The sequence below is a fragment of the Homo sapiens genome, chromosome 7 (assembly GCF_000001405.40).
Source record: "Homo sapiens chromosome 7, GRCh38.p14 Primary Assembly".
NCBI lineage: Eukaryota > Metazoa > Chordata > Mammalia > Primates > Hominidae > Homo > Homo sapiens.
Window position 1 is genome coordinate 74,068,615 of NC_000007.14, and position 17,837 is coordinate 74,086,451.

Sequence of the window (17,837 nt, forward strand, 5' to 3'; positions counted from 1 at the left end):
GAGGGGCCGGACTCACAGTGATGTGCACCTCCTCCCGTCCAGGTGGGGCCTGCCTGGGGAAAGCTTGTGGCCGGAAGAGAAAATGAGCTTCCTAGGACCCCTGACTCACGACCTCATCAACGTTGGTGCTACTGCTTGGTGGAGAATGTAAACCCTTTGTAACCCCATCCCATGCCCCTCCGACTCCCCACCCCAGGAGGGAACGGGCAGGCCGGGCGGCCTTGCAGATCCACAGGGCAAGGAAACAAGAGGGGAGCGGCCAAGTGCCCCGACCAGGAGGCCCCCTACTTCAGAGGCAAGGGCCATGTGGTCCTGGCCCCCCACCCCATCCCTTCCCACCTAGGAGCTCCCCCTCCACACAGCCTCCATCTCCAGGGGAACTTGGTGCTACACGCTGGTGCTCTTATCTTCCTGGGGGGAGGGAGGAGGGAAGGGTGGCCCCTCGGGGAACCCCCTACCTGGGGCTCCTCTAAAGATGGTGCAGACACTTCCTGGGCAGTCCCAGCTCCCCCTGCCCACCAGGACCCACCGTTGGCTGCCATCCAGTTGGTACCCAAGCACCTGAAGCCTCAAAGCTGGATTCGCTCTAGCATCCCTCCTCTCCTGGGTCCACTTGGCCGTCTCCTCCCCACCGATCGCTGTTCCCCACATCTGGGGCGCTTTTGGGTTGGAAAACCACCCCACACTGGGAATAGCCACCTTGCCCTTGTAGAATCCATCCGCCCATCCGTCCATTCATCCATCGGTCCGTCCATCCATGTCCCCAGTTGACCGCCCGGCACCACTAGCTGGCTGGGTGCACCCACCATCAACCTGGTTGACCTGTCATGGCCGCCTGTGCCCTGCCTCCACCCCCATCCTACACTCCCCCAGGGCGTGCGGGGCTGTGCAGACTGGGGTGCCAGGCATCTCCTCCCCACCCGGGGTGTCCCCACATGCAGTACTGTATACCCCCCATCCCTCCCTCGGTCCACTGAACTTCAGAGCAGTTCCCATTCCTGCCCCGCCCATCTTTTTGTGTCTCGCTGTGATAGATCAATAAATATTTTATTTTTTGTCCTGGATATTTGGGGATTATTTTTGATTGTTGATATTCTCTTTTGGTTTTATTGTTGTGGTTCATTGAAAAAAAAAGATAATTTTTTTTTCTGATCCGGGGAGCTGTATCCCCAGTAGAAAAAACATTTTAATCACTCTAATATAACTCTGGATGAAACACACCTTTTTTTTTAATAAGAAAAGAGAATTAACTGCTTCAGAAATGACTAATAAATGAAAAACCTTTAAAGGAAACTGTGTCTTAGCTTCCTTCGTATGATTTAATCTGCCTTCAACTCGCTGGCCTGGATGGGGATAAGGGCTCTGCTTCAGGGAACCTCCACCACCCACAGTGTATTTGAGAGGTTGCCCAACCAAAAGCCCCTGCTGCTGGCTTCTGGGGCATCGATCTTTCTCCAAGTTTGGCTTGTACTTTAACAATGAGGCCAGGAGTTTGAGACCCACCTGGACAACATAGCTGTCCAGTGGAGAATCACTTTGTACCATATAGCTACAAAAAAAAAAAAAATTACCCAAGATTGGTGGTGGTGCATGCCTGTGGTCCCAGCTACTCAGGAGGCTGAGGTGGGAGGATCGCTTGAGCCCAGGATTTCGAGGCTGCAGTGAGCTATGATTGCGCCACTGCACTCCAGCCTGGGTGAGACAGCAAGATCCTGTCTCGAGAGAGAGAGAGAGAGAAACAGAAAGAGACAGAGAGGAAAGATGGCTGACCTAAGAAAATGCAGAAGACAGTCAAAGGTAACCATTTTCCTCCGAAACAGTCCCCTCTGAGGAAGACCCACTCTCATGCGTGGCCATGTAAGGCCATTTGGCTTGAGAAGTTTAAGAAGTGATACCCAGCAGCAGGTTCAGCTCCACCCTTACTCAGATGCACCCATTCCCATTCTGGCCCTTCCTCCTCCCCTTGAGGCCAGAAATCCGTGGGGCCCGGGAATGTGTTCACCTGCAGCCCACATCCCTACCTCTAGACCACGCTCTGGATACCAGATACTGGAATTCCCTTCCCCAACCACCAAGCCCACTTCCAGGGCTCACTCAGCCTCAGGCCTGTGCCACCCTCCTGAGAGCGGGCCCCGTGCTGAGTGTGCACACCTCTAAGCCAGAAATGTGGCAACAGAGCTGTTCGTGGGGAGTGTGGGTGGGGCTCACCATGCAGACTGGAGCATATGTGGGTTTGCATACGAGGATCCTTGCGATCCCAGAAGGAGCTGGGAGGGAAAGAGAAAGCTGGTGGAGGGTATGCTCAGAGAGAGCTTCCCAGAGGACAGTAAAGGGCAAAAAACATTTTACCAGGCAAAGAATAGAACAGAGAGGAGGGTCAGGCCTTTCAGGCAGAGGACAGGACAACTAGATGTCTGGTAGGAGAGGGCAGTGCTGAGGACTTATGGAGGATGATCAGGAGGGGGTGAGCGGCGTGGTTCAAGGAGATGCACAAGAGGGTTGCTGTAATAATCCAGGGAGGGGTGACACAGCCTGCCCTAGAGTGGTGACAAAGTAGATCCATCCATCCATCCATCCACCCATCCACCCACCCATCTGTCCACCTACCCACCCATCAACCCACCCATCCACCCACCCACCCAACCATTCTTCCATCCATCCATGTCTCCTTCCACCCATCCACCCACCCACCCATCTATCCACCCACCCATCCATCCATCCATCTATCCACCCATCCATCCACCCACCAGTCCATCCATCCATTCATTACTTCACTCGACAAAAATATCCATTGCTGGTTTTTCCTCAGGTCTCCGGCCTCTAAAAGTCAGTAAGCCCCAGCATTCAGGCCTGTGGACTCCCTGTCTTGGTTTCTCATAGCTTGCGGTTTTATTTATTTATCAGAGACAGGGCCTCAGTCTTTCGCCCAGGCTGGAGTGCAGTGGTGCTATCACAGCTCACTGCAGCCTTAAACTCCCAGGCTGGAGCAATCCTCCCAACTACAGGCACATACCACCATACCCAGCTAATTTTTAAATTTTTTTATAGAGATAGAATCTTGCCATGTTGCAGCCAGGCGTGGTGGCTCATACCTGTAATCCCAGCACTTTGGGAGGCCGAGGCAGGCGGATCATGAGGTCAGGAGTTCAAGACCAGCCTGGCCAACATGGTGAAACCTCATCTCTACTAAAAATATAAAAATTAGCCGGGTGTGGTGGTGCATGCCTGTAATCCCATCTACTTGGGAGGCCAAGGCAGGAGAATCACTTGAACCCAGGAGGCGGAGGTTGCAGTGAGCCGAGACCGTACCATTGCACTCCAGCCTGGCGACAGAGCGAGACTCTGTCTCAAAAAAAAAACAAAGAATCTTGCTATGTTGCCCAGGCTGCTCTCAAACTCCTGGCCTCGGCCTCCCAAAGTGTTGGGGTTACAGGTGTGAGCCACCTCAGCTGGTTGCTCGTGGCTTTAAATATTTAATACGACCTATTCATTGGTGACTCTCCAATTGACATCTCCAGCATGACCGCTCCCCTGAGCCCAGGACTTGCACATCCAAGGCCAATTCTAACATCTCTACCTAGAAATCTCATAGACATGGCCTAGGTAGCGTGGTTTTCCCTCCCTGCCTTTCCCATCTCAGTAAAGGGCAGCCCTACTCTTCCAGAGGTTCCGGCCTGCAACTCTGTAACCATCTCTGACTCTGCTCTTCCCTCACTCCCCACAGCAGATTCACCAGCAAATAATACGGCACCACCTTCAGAATATATCCAGAGTTGGCCAGGCACACTGACTCACACCTGTAATCCCAGCACTTTGGGAGGCCGAAGTGGGCAGATTACCTGAGGTCGGGAGTTCGAGACCAGCCTGACCAACATGGAGAAACCCCGTCTCTACTAAAAATACAAAAAAATTAGCCAGGCATGGTGGTGCATGCCTGTAATCCTAGCTGCTCAGGAGGCTGAGGCAGGAGAATCACTTGGACACGGGAGGCAGAGGTTGCGGTGAGCCGAGGTCACACCATTGCGCTATAGCCTGGGCAACAAGAGCGAAACTCTGTCTAAAAAAAAAAGAATATATCCAGAGTCCTACCACGTCTCAGGGCTAAGCCACAATCCCCAGTATCTCTTGCCTGAATTACTGAAATAGCTCCCTGAACCCCTTAGTTCTCCCCTGGCTCCCCTTCGGCCTTCTCTCCACTCAGCAACCAAAGCAATCTTTTTTTTTTTTTTTTTTTTTTTTTTTGAGATGGAGTTTCACTCTGTTGCCCAGGCTGGAGTACATTGGCGTGATCTCAGCTCACTCAACCTCTGCCTCCCGGGTTCAAGAGATTCTCCTGCCTCAGCCTCCTGCGTAGCTGGGACTACTGGCATGTGCCACCATGCCTGGCTAATTTTTGTGTTTTTAGTAGAGACAAGGTTTCACCATGTTGGCCGGGCTGGTTTTGAACTCCTGGCCTCAAGCGATCCTCCTGCCTCTGCCTCCCAAAGTGCTGGGATTACAGGTATGAGCCACCACATCTGGCCCAAAGCAATTCTTTCAAAGCATAAGTCAACTCGGGTCATGCATCTACTCCAAGTCCTGCAGTGGTTCCTGTCTCACTCAGAGACAAAGCCAGAGGCCTTTCTATGGCCAAGAAGCCCCTACTTGCATGGCAGCAGCTCTCCTGACCTCACATTCTGCTATTCGAGCCATGCGGTCGCCCTGGCCATCTTACTTTTCCTTGAGTGCAACAGGTCACCCACTGCCAGCCTTGGCATCTGCTATCTCTTCTGCCCAAAACGCCCTTTCATCAGCTATCTGTGTTTCTGGCTCACTCAGCTGCTTCAGGTCTTGACTCAGGTGTCACCTTCTCAGAGTGTCCTACACTGACACCTTTCTAAAATTGCAAATTGGGCTGGATGCGGTGGCCTGTGCCTATAATCCCAGCACTTTGGGAGGCTGAGGTGGGAGGATCACTTGAGGCCAGGAGTTCAAGACCAGCCTGGGCAACATAGCGAGACTCCATCTCTATTTAAAACATAAATAAAATTGCAAGCTGCACCCTCCTCCTCTGCTCATTACTCCCTCACCTGGCTCTACCTCCGTTTTGTGTTTTGTTTTGTTTTTTGAGATGGAGTCTCACTCTGTCGCCCAGGCTGGAGTGCAATGGCAAAATCTCACCTCACTGCAACCTCTACTTCCCGGGTTCAAGCAATTCTCCCACCTCAGCCTCCTGAGTAGCTCGGATTACAGGCACCCGCCATCATGCCTGGCAAATATTTTTTGTATTTTTATACAGACAGGGTTTGACCATGTTGGCCAGGCTGGTCTTGAACTCCTGACCTCAGGTGATCCACCCTCCTTGGCCTCCCAAAGTGCTGGGATTACAGGCATGAACCACCGCGCCCAGCCTGTCTCTGCCTTCTTTGACTCCAGAGCACCTGTCACCATAAACAAAATATATTTTACTTCTTTGTTTTCTGTCTCTCTACACCAGACTGTAAACTCTAAGATGGGCACTGCTTTAAGAATAACACAGCCTGGACACAGTGGCTCATGCTTGTAATCCCAGCACTTTGGGAGGCCGAGGCAGGCAGATCACTTGAGGTCAGGAGTTCAAGACCAGCCTGGCTAACATGGCAAAACCCCAACAACAACAACAAAAATTAGCTGGGTGTGGTGGTGCATGCTTGTAATCCCAGCTACTCTGGGGACTGAGGCAGGTGAATCGCTTGAACCCAGGAGGCAGAGGTTGCAGTGAGCCAAGATTGCGCCACTGCACTCCAGCCTGGGCAACAGAGCAAGACTGTCTCAAAAAACAGAAAAAAAATTTTTTTAAAGACCCTATCTCCAAATACAGTCATATTCTGCAGTATTGGAGTAAATGCTTCAAGATATAAATTTTGAGGAGACACAGTTCCACCCCTAAGAGTTACCTCATGGAAAAAGGGTCTTTGTAGTTGTGATTAAGTCAAGGATCTTGAGAGATAGGGAGATTATCCTGCTGGGCCCTAAATGCTACATAGGTATTCTTATGAGAAGCTGGGGCTGGGCACAATGGCTCACACCTATCATCCCAACACTTTGGGAGGCCAAAGCAGGAGGATCACTTAAGCCAGGAGGTCAAGGCTGCAGTGAGCTATGATTGTGCCACTGCACTCCAATCTGGGTGACAGAGTAAGACCCTATCTGAGGAAAAAAAAAATTGGAAAATCTAGATAAAATGGATAAGTTCCTAGAAAGCCACAGCCTGCCAAGACTGAATCATGAAGAAATAGAAAATCAGCATAGACCAATAGTGAGTAAGGAGATTAAATCAGTAATAAAAAGTCTCCCAACAGAGAAAAACCCAGGACCAGATGGCTTCACTGGAGAATTCTAACAAACATTTAAAAAATTAACACCAATCCTCCTGAAACTCTTCCAGAAAACTGAAGTAGAGGGAACACTTCCAATCTCCTTCTAAGAGGCCAGCATTATTCTAATACCAAAGACACAAGAAAAGCAAACTATAGGCCAATATCCTTTATGAACATTGATGCAAAAATCTTCAACAAAATACAAGCGAACCAAATTCAATAGCAGATTAAAAGGATTATACACCATAACCAAGTGGAATTTTTCCTGAAATGTTAGGATGTTTCAACATATGAAAATCAATCAGTGAAATATAACATATAAACAGAATGAAAGACAATTACATGATCATCTCAATTGCAGCAGAAAAAGCAGCAAGATCCAATAAACTTTCATGATAAAAACATTCAACAGACTAGGAATAGAAGCAAACCACTTCAACCTAATAAAGGCTACAGATGAAAGCCCACAGCTAACATCATACTTAATGGTGAAAGACTGGGCTTGAGTGGTGGCTCACACCTGTAATCCCAGCACTTTGGGAGGCTGAGGCAGGCAGATCTCTTGAGCCCAGAAGTTCGAGACCAGCCTGGGCAACATAGCGAAGCCCTGTCTCTACAAGAAAATATAAAAATAAGCCGGGCATAGTGGCACATGCCTGTAGTCCCAGCTGTTCAGGAGGCTGAGGCAGGAGAATTGCTTGAGACTGGGAGGTTGAGGCTGCAGTGAGCCATGATCATGCCACTGCACTCTAGCCTGGAAAACAGAGTGACACCCTGTCTCGAAAAAAATAAAAAGGACTTAAAGCTTTTCCTCTAAGATTAGGAATAAGACAAGGATGCCTACTCCTATCACTTCTATTCAGCATAGTATTGGAAGTCCTAGTCAGAACAACTAGGCAAAAAAAAAAAAAAAAAAAGAAATTAAAGATATCCAAATTGAGAAGAAAGAAGTAAAATTATCTCTGTTCACAAATAACAGACTCTTATATGTAAAAACTCCTAAAGATCGAACATGCCCACAAAATTAGTTGTGTTTCCACATCCTCACAATGAACAATCTAAAAAGGAAATTAAGAAAACAATTCCAGGCCGGGCGCGGTGGCTCACGCCTGTAATCCCAGCACTTTGGGAGGCCGAGGCGGGCGGATCACGAGGTCAGGAGATTGAGACCATCCTGGCTAACACGGTGAAAACCCATCTCTACTAAAAATACAAAAAAAATTAGCCGGGCGTGGTGGCGGGCACCTGTAGTCCCAGCTACTCGTGAGGCTGAGGCAGGAGAATGGCGTGAACCCGGGAGGCGGAGCTTGCAGTGAGCCAAGATCGTGCCACTGCACTCCAGCCTGGGGGACAGAGCAAGACTCAAAAGAAAAAAAGGAAACAATTCCATTTATAATAGCATCAAAAAGAATAAAATACTAGAAATAAACCTAACCAAGGAAGTGAAAGATTTGTACACTGAAAACTGTAAAACACTGCTGAATTAAATTAAAGAAGACACAGGTAAATATAAAAATTTACATCCATGTTCATGGATGGTAAGACTTAATTGTTAAGAGGCCTGTAGTACTCAAAACAATCTACGGTTTCAACACAATTGCCATCAAAGTCCCAATGGTATTTTTTGCAGAAACAGAAAATTTCATCTTAAACCTCATGTGAAATCTCAAGGGACTCCAAATAGCCAAAACAATTTTGAGAAAGAAGAACAAAGTTGGAGGACTCACACTTTGTGATGCCAAAACGTATTACAAAGTTACAGTAACCCAAACAGTGTGATACTGGCATAATGACAGACAAACAGACCAACAGAACAGAATATTTATAATGGCTCAGAAATATTAATAAAGCCTCGTGTATATGATTAAATGATATTTGACAAGATGCTAAGACCATTCGGTGGGGAAAGAATAGTCTCTTCAACAAGCAATGTTAGTGGCCAGACACAGTGGCTCATGCCTGTAATCCTCACACTTCTGGGAGGCCAAAGTGGGAGGATTGTTTGAGCCCAGGAGTTCGAGACCGCCCTGAGCAACATAGACAGATCCCATCTCTCTTTAAAAAAACAAAAAACATAACAAAAAAGCCAAATTTTATTGGGAAAACTGGATATCCACATACAAAAGAATAAAGTGGCCGGGCACGGTGGCTCATGCCTGTAATCCCAGCACTTTGGGAGGCCGAGGCAGGCAAATCACAAGATCAGGAATTCGAAACCAGCCTGGCCAATATGGTGAAACCCCATCTCTACTAAAAACACAAAAATTAGCTGGGCATGGTGGTGGGTGCCTGTAATCCCAGCTACTCAGGAGGCTGAGGCAGGAGAATCACTTGAACCAGGGAGGCAGAGGTTGCAGTGAGCTGAGATCATGCCACTGCCCTCCAGCCTGGGTGACAGAGCGAGACCCTGTCTCAGAATAAAGTCTGGGGGCCGGGCACGGTGGATCACACCTGTAATCCCAGCATTTTGGGAGGCTGAGGCGGGTGGATCACCTGAGATCACAAGTTTGAGACCAGCCTGTCCAACATGGTGAAACCCCGTCTCTACTAAAAATACAAAAATTAGCCGGGCCTGGTGGCATGCACCTGTAAGCCTAGCTACTTGGGAGGCTGAGGCAGGAGAATTGCTCGAACCTGGGAGGCGGAGGTTGTGGTGAGCTGAGATCATGCCACTGCACTCCATGGGCAACAGAGCAAGACCCTGTCTCAAAAAAAAAAAAAAAAGTTCGATCCTTATCTTACACCATATACAAAAAATAACTCAGATTAAATAACTAAATGTAAGACCCAAAACTATAAAATGCCTGAAAGAAGACACAGCAGATTGATTTCAGGATTGATTTCCAACAATCTGATTTCAGACTTCTGGCCTCCAGAACTGTGAGAAAATAAATGTCTTGTTTTCAGCCACCAAGTTTCTGGTAATTTGTCATAGCAGCCAGGGGAAACTGATATAGTACAGTGAATAAGTAATAACTCTAATGCCAGGTAAATCGGTGCTATGAAGATAAAAAGCCCGGGAGGAGAGTTACAAGGAATGTTATCACCCTAACTTAGGATGGTTAATGGACCTGGCCTCAAGTCAAAAGCCCTGTAACAACCACGTACTTGGGAAGTTAGAACAGCAGAGAGGTGCACCACGATTTTTCTTCTTTTTAATTAGAGAAAGGGGCCAGGCGCGGTGGCTCACGCCTGTAATCCCAGCACTTTGGAAGGCCGAGGCGGGTGGATCACCTGAGGTCAGGAGTTCAAGACCAACCTGGCCAATATGGTGAAACCCCGTTTCTACTAAAAATACAAAAATTAGCCGGGTGTGATAGCATGCGCCTGTAATCCCAGCTACTCAGGAGGCTGAGGCAGGAGAATTGCTTGAACCCAGGAGGCAGAAGTTGGAGTGAGCCGAGATTGCACCATTGCTCTCCAGCCTGGGCGACAGAGCAAGACTTGGTCTCAAGCAATCCTCCTGCCTCAGCCTCCCAAGTAGCTAGGACTACAGTCACGTGCCACCATACCTGGCTAATTTTTTTTTTTTTTAGAGATGAGGTCTCGCTATGTTGCCCAGGCTGGTTTCAAATTTCTGGCCTCAAGGGATCCTCCTGCCTTGGCCTCTCAAATGGCTGGGATTACAGGTGTGAGCTACCATGACTGACCATCATGATTTTAACAAAACTGACAGGAGAATAAAAATAAGGGCAAAGTAGTAGCCAGAGGCTAGGTCCCATAAGCGCAGAAGCAGGGACCTTAGGGTTAGAAAGCAAAGGAATGTCACACATGTTCAGAGGCTCTGCAGGATGACAGGGCATAGGGACATGACTTGGGAGGCTGTTGCTCTAAATACCTAACTAGGCCAAGAAGGAGGGAGAAGTGCTGGAATTCTGGATGTATTTTACATATAGAGCCAATAGGATTTGCCAATGGATCAGAGGCAGGGAGTCAAGAGAGGGAATGGGAGCAGTCATGCCATATAGTACACCTGTAGTTCCAGCAGCTAGGGAGGCTGAGATGGGAGGATCGCTTGAGCCTGGGAGGTCAAGGCTGCAGTGAGCTTTGATCGTGCCACTGCCCACCAGCCTGGGTGATAGAGGAAGATCTTGTCTCAAAAAAAAAAAATGTCTGTGAGTTTAAACTAAATTACTGGATGATGGTGGTGTCATTTACTGAGATAAGAAACACCTGGGGAGGAACTATCCGGGCACAAATTATGAGCTCTGACCTGGACACATTAAGTATGAGGTCCCATTTGCCATCCAAGTGGAGATCCCAAATAGACATTCGGGTTCTTGTGTCTGCAGTTCGAGGAGAGGTCAGAGGAGTCACCAAGCCATGCATCTGAGTGAGCTCACGCAGAGTGGGCGAGATGTGAGCAGGCAGGGTCTGACAGCAGGGATCCCATGACGCCAGCCTGCTTTGCATGCTAGGACAGCTCAGGCTCTGGCCCTGCCTTCAACAACAGCCTTGGGCTCACGTTACAGCAGCATCCCCAAGGAGCCTCCTGCTTGTCACTGGCTTGTGTCCAGCCAGGCACAAATTTGCAACTGGGCAATTCTAACCTCTAGAGTGAGTAAGCCATTCCCATGGGGCGCTCAACTCCTCATAGAAAAAACTTTTATTGGCCGGGAGTGGTGACTCACACTGTAATCCCAGCACTTTAAGAGGCCGAGGTGGGATGATCACTTGAGGTCAGGAGTTCAAGACCAGCCTGGCCAACATGGTGAAACCCTATCTCTACTAAAAATACAAAAATTAGCCAGGCGTGGTGGCAGGCACCTGTAATCCCAGCTACTCGGGAGGCTGAGGCAGGAGAATCACTTGAATCCAGGAGGCAGAGGTTGCAGTGAGCCGAGTTAGCGCCACTGCAGTCCAGCTTGGGCAACAGGGCGAGACTCCATCTCAAAAAAACAAAAACAAAACAAAAAACTTTTATCAGGCCGGACTCAGTGGCTCATGCCTATAATCCCAGCACTTTGGGAACACAAAGTGGAAAGGATCAATTGAGCACAGGAGTTCGAGACTAGCCTGGGCAACATGGTAAGACCCCCCCCCATCTCTACAAAAGATAAAAATTAGCCAGACGTGGCGTGTGTGCCTGTGGGTCCACCTACCTAGAAGTCTGAGGTGGGAGGATCACTTGAGCTCAGGAGTTTGAGGCTGCAGTGAGCTACGATCGTGCCACTGCATTCCACCCTGTGTGACAGAGTGAGACCCTGTCTCTCTTAAAAAAAAAAAAAAAAAAAAGTCCAAAAATCCTTTTTGCAGCCAGGCGAGATGGCTCACATCTATAATCCCAGCACTTTGGGAGGCCTAGGTGGGCGAATCGCCTGAGGTCAGGAGTTCGAGACCAGTCTGGCCAACCTGGTGAAACCCCATCTCTACTAAAAATACAAAAAATTAGCCAGGCATGGTGGTGCACACCTGTAATCCCAGCTACTTGGGAGGCTGAGGCAGGAGAATTGCTTGAACCCAGGAGGTGGAGATTGCAATGAGCTGGGATCGTGCCACTGCACTCCAGCCTGGGAAAGAAGAGCAAACCTCCATCTCAAAATAAATAAATAAATAAATAAATATAAATAAAAAGCAAAAATCCTTTTTGCTTTCAGCAAAAAAAATCTTGCATGAGCAATGTAACTGAATATGTCAGATCTGATGTTTCACCTGGAACTGTGGCTGACAAGGAGCTCCTACAAGGTGTGGAAGTGCCAGCTCCATCTTTTCGCTCATCTGGGTGTGTTAGCATCTTCTTTTTTTTTTTTTTTGTTTATTTGTTTGAGACAGGCTGTACAATGGCATGATCAGAGCTCACTAGAGCCTCCAAATCCTGGACTCAAGCGATCCTCCCGTCTCAGCCTCCTGAGTAGCTGTGACTACAGGTGCACACCACCACTCCCAGATAATTTTTTTTTTTCCGAAGAGATGTGAGGGGGTCTCACTATGTTGCCCAGGCTGGTCTTGAACTCCTGACCTCAAGCGATCCTCCCAGTTCAGCCTCCCAAAGTGCTGGGATTACAGGTATAAGCCACTGCACCCAGTCTGCATCATCTTCAATCTGTGCTTTCTTTTTTTTTTTTTGAGATGGAGTCTTGCTCTGTCACCAGGCTGGGGTGCAGTGGCGCAATCTCGGCTCACCGCAACCTCCAACTCCCTGGTTCAAGCGATTTTCCTGCCTCAGCCTCCCAAGTAGCTGGGATTGCAGGCACGTACCACCATGCCCAGCTAATTTTTGTATTTTTAGTAGAGACGGGGTTTCACCATGTTGGCCAGGATGGTCTCGATCTCCTGACCTCACGATCCACCCGCCTCAGCCTCTCAAAGTGCTGGGATTACAGGTGTGAGCCACCACGCCAGGCCCAATCTGTGCTTTCTTTGCAGGAATTGTTTTCAACTATGAGTCCATTCTGTGAGGGTTAATTTAGTCAAAACTGGATAACATCACTCAACCAAGCTGGCTCAGGCTCACAGCCCCTCCAGGCCACTATGCACTTCTCTGCCCTGCACTGTGGGCACAGCATCAACATGGCCCTGCCCGCTGCATCCAGACGGGATTGGTTAACGGGAGGCAATGGAAGAATAAGAAGAGCAGGGGAGTCAGATCAGAATAGCCCTTCTGGGCCCTCTTCCCCATGAGTCCCCCAGAACTGGGGACCCCTCTTGCACAGCTCCTCTCAGGCAGGCCTCTCCTCCAGGGACCCCCTCTATGCCCCCTTACCCTGGGCTGGTAACTGCTGCCACCCCTCCAACTGTGCCAGTCCTTACTGATCTCCTTTAATCCCCCCTCCCCAGTGCATTGCAAACATCCCCTTTATCAAACTCTCCCCAGTTAGCCCCACTAAGTGGCACTTTCTGTTTCCAGCCAGGGTCCTGCCTGGTATATGCCCTACAGCCAAGTTACAAGGCTCTCATTCCCCTCTCTTTCCTTCCCCTTTTTTTCCCTCCCTATCTTTTTTGACAGGGTCTCTGTCACCCAGGCTAGAGTGCAATGGTGCAATCATAGCTCACTGCAGCCTCAACCTCCTGAGGTCAAGTATCCTCCCACCTCAGCCTCCCAAGTAACTAACTACAGGCATGAGCCACCATGCCTGGCTAATTAAAAAAAAAAAAAAAAGTCTGGGCGCGGTGGCTCACGCCTGTAATCCCAGCACTTTGGGAGGCCAAGGTGGGTGGATCACCTGAGGTCCAGAATTCGAGACCAGCCTGACCAACATGGAGAAACCCCGTCTCTATTAAAAATACAAAATTAGCCAGGTATGGTGGTGCATGCCTATAATCCCAGCTATTCCAGAGGCTGAGGCAGGAGAATGGCTTGAACCCGGGAGGTGGAGGTTGCTGTGAGCTGAGATCGCACCATTGCACTCCAGCCTGGGCAACAAGAGTGAAACTCCATTTCAAAAAAAAAAAAAGTTAGAAGAGACAGGGTTTCACTTCATTGCTTAAGCTGATCTCCAATTCCTGGCCCCACGTGATGCTCCCACCTTGGCCTCCCAAAGTGCTGGGATTATAGGTGTGAGCCACTGTGCCCAGCCTTCTTTCTCATGAGAAATTAAAAATTCTGGCCAGGCGTGGTGGCTCACACCTGTAATCCCAGCACTTTGGGAAGCCGAGGAGGGTGGATCACCTGAGGTCAGGAGTTCAGGACCAGCCTGGTCAACATGGTGAAACCTCATCTCTACTAAAAATACAAAAATTAGTCGGTCATGGTGGTGCACGCCTGTAATATCAGCTACTCGGGAGGCTAAGGTGGGAGAATTGCTTGAACCTGGGAGGTGGAGACTGCGGTGAGCCGAGATCCCGCCACTGCACTCCAGCCTAGGCAACAGAGCGAGACCGAATCTAAAAAAAGAAAAAAAAAATCTAGTATTTTCTTCCCACCCCACGTAATTGTTTTGCACCCAGGGGTGAGTGCCCCCCACTTTGCAGACGTGCCTAGACCTCTCCCCACAAACATGATGACTAGAGTTGGAGCTGGGCTAGCGCTGCCTCTTGTTCACTGGGTTCACGTGGGCACGTGGCTCCACTCCGGTCACTGCTTCCTGGGCAGAGGGATGACGTGGAAGGTAGACCTAGGGGGGACAGGGTTGCTTCCTGCCCATGTCCAGCATTCTAGAATTGTCCACATCTAGGCAGGGCGTTCCACCATCAGTGCTGGACTGGACCACCCAATTCCTTTGGACGCTTGACTCAGCCCAAACCCGTGCTCCCTCCAGGACCCTGGGCAGGGCAGCCCCAGCTCCAGGTAATCGGCACTGAGAAGAGTACACCTGTCACCGCCTGGCAGGGGCTCGCTCCTTTCTCTGGTGCTGCTCATTCGCGAGGCCTGAGACGCGGACCGTCACCTTCCCCGGGCCCAGCCTGGCCTCAATGCAGGCCTCAGAGAGAGGGACAAAACCCGGCCCGCCTCCCTCCCCTCCCCAAGGCGACCACCAGTGTCCTGGGGGTCCACAGGGCCTCTCCAGCTCTGATCCGAGTTCCCGGCTGCAGCTGGTTTGGGTCTGTGGGGGCCTCGCGCAGGGAAGCGGAGGCCCCTTCTCTAGGCTCCTACATCCTCCTGGCCTGCCCCAGCAGAGCTAGCGGCCCTCCGAGACAGCTGGGCCTCGCAGCTCCCAGCCGAGGCCTGTCGCTGGGAGAAAGAAGAATGAATGAAGGGCGGAAGGGGCGGGGAGGGGCGGGGCGCGCCGCGCCAGCTCGCGGCGCCCCCAGGCCGGGCCGCAGCGGGGCGTGGCCTCTAGAGGCGTGGCCTTGGGCGTGGGGGCGGGGTTTTCTGGTGGGGGCGGGGCCGCGCAGGGCCGTTCCCGCCGCCGGCCGCCCGCGCCCCGCCCCCGTGCCGCAGCTCACAGGCCCCGCCTCGGTCCGCCCCTCCGCTCGCTCCCCAAGCCGCCGCGGCGCCGAGCCGGTTTCCCCGCCGGTGTCCGAGAGGCGCCCCCGGCCCGGCCCGGCCCGGCCCGCGCCCTCCGCCCCCGCCTCCCCGGGCCGGCGGCGGTGGGCGAGCTCGCGGGCCCGGCCGCCCCCAGCCCCAGCCCCGCCGGGCCCCGCCCCCCGTCGAGTGCATGAGGTTGACGCTACTTTGTTGCACCTGGAGGGAAGAACGTATGGGAGAGGAAGGTGCGCGGGCCGCGGGGTGTGGGGCGAGGGCCTGGAGGGGGTGCCCGGGGCAGCGTGGGGCACGGGAGGGGGCCGGGTCTGCCAGGAGGCCGCGCCCCTGCCTCCTCCGGGATGAGCTCGTCCTTACGAAGCCCGCAGGCCCCTCCCTGTCCCCCTCCCGCCCGGGATCCCCCTCCCCGGCCCCCGGCGAGCTGCCCTCCTGCGGGTCTGGGGGCCCCTGGACCCTTTTTCCTCCTCCCACGTCCCCCCGCGAAGGACTCCCAGACACTGCCCACCCCGCGTCGGCCTCCATCCGCGTGCTCTGTCCACCACCCGGGCCTCGCCCTGGGGCCACCCTTTATCCAGTCTCGGAAGAAAGAGCGGCTGGGGAAGCCGCAGCCCCGGGTCCCAGTGGCCGCCGGGCGCCTGCCCGGCTCTGTGACCTTGAGCCAGGCGCTGACTTCCTGGTCCTCAGTTTCCCCTTCTGTACATTTGGAAACTGGGTAGTTGCCCCCCCGGTGTCGGTGATTGGGGGCCAGATGGGTAGAGCGGAGATAGGCGTCCAGGAAGCCGGAGGCCGTGTACTGCGGGAGCCTCATCCACTCTCCCTGTCCGTGCCCCAAACCCGGTGCCTGCCCTCAGTCTTGGCTGGGAGCATGACTCATCCTAACCTCCTCTTTAGCCCCTTCTCCCTCACTGGGGCCCAAGGCGCAGTACTGCACTGCAGTTAGGGTTCAAGGACTCCCCCAGCCTAGGACAGGGTCTGGGGGCCCCTCCTTGGATCTCCTTCGCTGACCTGTCACTTAGATCCACCTGGCCCCAAGGCAGGGCCTGACTCCACACCTCCCCCTGCCACCAACTCTTCCCAGGCCCATGAAAACCTGATTGGGGTAGGGGCCCACCTTCCTGTAGCCCCTGCCTACCTAAGGTACCTGCGTCTTCACAGAGGGTCAGGCTGTTGTGGCCTTGGGACCTAGCTATGTGACTGGGCAAGCCATGCCATCTCTGGGGCTCAGTCTCCCCTTCTGTACAGTGGAGAGGGGCAGGTCTGGGGCATTTTCCAGGGCCCACCAGCTCCAAGGGTGCCAGGCCCCAAGGATGACTAAGCATGCCTGTGGCTGGCTAGAGGAGGTGCCAGGCCTCCCTGGGACAGGTGTCTGGGAGTACCCAGGTCTGCAGCCCCCTCCCCTTGCCAAGCCAGGGCATTCATTGCCAAGGATCTGTTAGGGCCGGCACCTCCAGGCTTCCTGCCCTTGACCTCCCAGCTGGCTTCAGCCCAGGATGCACTAATCCAGCCCTGTCCAGTCCCTGCCTTTGAAGGGCCCTCTTAGTACTTCTTCCTGGGCAGGAGAGGGAAGAAAGGAGGCTGTGATAGGAATGTCACCCACTGCCTTATCCCTAAAGCCACTGCTTCCTTTCTCCTCATTTACCTTGCCAGATCCAATGCTATAGCGGGAGGATGGACCTGATCCTCCTCCTAAGCTGATACATAGGGAAACAGGGCCAGAGAAGCTTGGCAACCTAGTCAGTATCTCAGCAAGACTCAGGCCAGCGCCCTTTCTTCTCCTATTTGGCACAGCGACTGCCCTGCCTGGGCGCTGCACATGTGCAGTGTGCGAGGATTGGTGCAGGTGTAGGTATATGTGGGGTGGGCAGGGCAAGCTGGGCCTGCACCAGATCACACTTCCTGAGAATGCTTCCCAACTCCCTTCCCACCCTGCAGGAAGCGAGTTGCCCGTGTGTGCAAGCTGCGGCCAGAGGATCTATGATGGCCAGTACCTCCAGGCCCTGAACGCGGACTGGCACGCAGACTGCTTCAGGTAGGGTGGGGTGCCCAGGGCCTGTGTTGCCCTAAACAAGGCCTGCCAGAGAGGACAGGCTGGTCAAGGAATGGGGGAGGCCGGGATATGCCTCCTGGTGCCGTCCCCTATTGTGACTTCGTGGCCTTAATTTACCATTTATGACATGAGGTGTTTTGACTAGAAAATCCCTACAGGCCTTCCTGTTGTCATTTTATTTATCTATTTTTTTTTCTTTTTGAGACGGAGTCTCGCTCTGTCACCCAGGCTGGAGTACAGTGGTGCGATCTTGGCTCATTGCAACCTCTTCCTCCTGGGCTCACGCAGTTCTCCTGTGTCAGCCTCTGGAGTAGCTGGGATTACAGGCGTGCACCACCACGCCCAGCTAATTTTTGTATTTTTAGTAGAGACGGGTTTTGCCATGTTAGCCAGGCTGGTCTGAAACTTCTGACCTCAAGTGATCTTCCCACCTCAGCCTCCCAAAGTGCTGGGATGACAGACATAAACCACCGCTCCTGGCCTCATTTTATTTTCTTTTATGTATTTTTCTTTTTTCGAAATGGTCTTGCTCTGTTGCCCAGGCTGGAGTGCAGTGGTGCCATCTCGGCTCATTGCAACCTCCATCTCC

General features: G+C 51.9%; 2 protein-coding genes across 56 annotated transcripts in view, besides 10 other annotated features; both read left to right on the forward strand.

Annotated features, from left to right (window-relative positions):
• The window catches only part of ELN (elastin), a 41,735-nt gene extending 40,442 nt beyond the window's left edge, over nucleotides 1-1,293 (forward strand). For all 55 annotated transcript variants that reach the window (XM_011515868.3, NM_001081754.3, XM_011515876.3 and 52 more), the window contains one exon: nucleotides 43-1,293. In XM_011515868.3, the coding sequence (XP_011514170.1) occupies nucleotides 43-86 (44 nt within the window). In that variant the 3' untranslated portion in view covers nucleotides 87-1,293. The remainder of the gene's footprint in view (nucleotides 1-42) is intronic.
• Nucleotides 13,890-14,568: an enhancer, noted in NCBI's record as "H3K4me1 hESC enhancer chr7:73496834-73497512 (GRCh37/hg19 assembly coordinates)". NCBI's record gives its function as "activates a minimal SCP1, AML or CMV promoter by ChIP-STARR-seq in naive and primed H9 embryonic stem cells {active_cell/tissue: H9 hESC(naive and primed)}" and the evidence as "EXISTENCE:reporter gene assay evidence [ECO:0000049][PMID:30033119]".
• Nucleotides 14,564-14,673: an enhancer, noted in NCBI's record as "active region_26135". NCBI's record gives its function as "activates an Ori minimal core promoter by ATAC-STARR-seq in GM12878 lymphoblastoid cells {active_cell/tissue: GM12878}" and the evidence as "EXISTENCE:reporter gene assay evidence [ECO:0000049][PMID:35858748]".
• Nucleotides 14,564-15,247: a biological region, named in NCBI's record as "H3K4me1 hESC enhancer GRCh37_chr7:73497513-73498191".
• Nucleotides 14,569-15,247: an enhancer, noted in NCBI's record as "H3K4me1 hESC enhancer chr7:73497513-73498191 (GRCh37/hg19 assembly coordinates)". NCBI's record gives its function as "activates a minimal SCP1, AML or CMV promoter by ChIP-STARR-seq in naive and primed H9 embryonic stem cells {active_cell/tissue: H9 hESC(naive and primed)}" and the evidence as "EXISTENCE:reporter gene assay evidence [ECO:0000049][PMID:30033119]".
• Nucleotides 14,944-15,213: a silencer, noted in NCBI's record as "silent region_18270". NCBI's record gives its function as "represses an Ori minimal core promoter by ATAC-STARR-seq in GM12878 lymphoblastoid cells {active_cell/tissue: GM12878}" and the evidence as "EXISTENCE:reporter gene assay evidence [ECO:0000049][PMID:35858748]".
• LIMK1 (LIM domain kinase 1) overlaps nucleotides 15,190-17,837 on the forward strand; it is a 38,722-nt gene continuing 36,074 nt past the window's right edge. The window contains exons 1-2 of the mRNA NM_002314.4: nucleotides 15,190-15,431; nucleotides 17,134-17,230. Coding sequence (NP_002305.1) covers nucleotides 15,377-15,431; nucleotides 17,134-17,230 — 152 coding nt within the window. The 5' untranslated portion in view covers nucleotides 15,190-15,376. The remainder of the gene's footprint in view (nucleotides 15,432-17,133; nucleotides 17,231-17,837) is intronic.
• Nucleotides 15,334-15,383: a silencer, noted in NCBI's record as "silent region_18271". NCBI's record gives its function as "represses an Ori minimal core promoter by ATAC-STARR-seq in GM12878 lymphoblastoid cells {active_cell/tissue: GM12878}" and the evidence as "EXISTENCE:reporter gene assay evidence [ECO:0000049][PMID:35858748]".
• Nucleotides 15,494-15,543: a silencer, noted in NCBI's record as "silent region_18272". NCBI's record gives its function as "represses an Ori minimal core promoter by ATAC-STARR-seq in GM12878 lymphoblastoid cells {active_cell/tissue: GM12878}" and the evidence as "EXISTENCE:reporter gene assay evidence [ECO:0000049][PMID:35858748]".
• Nucleotides 15,734-16,003: an enhancer, noted in NCBI's record as "active region_26136". NCBI's record gives its function as "activates an Ori minimal core promoter by ATAC-STARR-seq in GM12878 lymphoblastoid cells {active_cell/tissue: GM12878}" and the evidence as "EXISTENCE:reporter gene assay evidence [ECO:0000049][PMID:35858748]".
• Nucleotides 16,515-17,114: an enhancer, noted in NCBI's record as "H3K27ac-H3K4me1 hESC enhancer chr7:73499459-73500058 (GRCh37/hg19 assembly coordinates)". NCBI's record gives its function as "activates a minimal SCP1, AML or CMV promoter by ChIP-STARR-seq in naive H9 embryonic stem cells {active_cell/tissue: H9 hESC(naive)}" and the evidence as "EXISTENCE:reporter gene assay evidence [ECO:0000049][PMID:30033119]".
• Nucleotides 17,115-17,712: an enhancer, noted in NCBI's record as "H3K27ac-H3K4me1 hESC enhancer chr7:73500059-73500656 (GRCh37/hg19 assembly coordinates)". NCBI's record gives its function as "activates a minimal SCP1, AML or CMV promoter by ChIP-STARR-seq in naive and primed H9 embryonic stem cells {active_cell/tissue: H9 hESC(naive and primed)}" and the evidence as "EXISTENCE:reporter gene assay evidence [ECO:0000049][PMID:30033119]".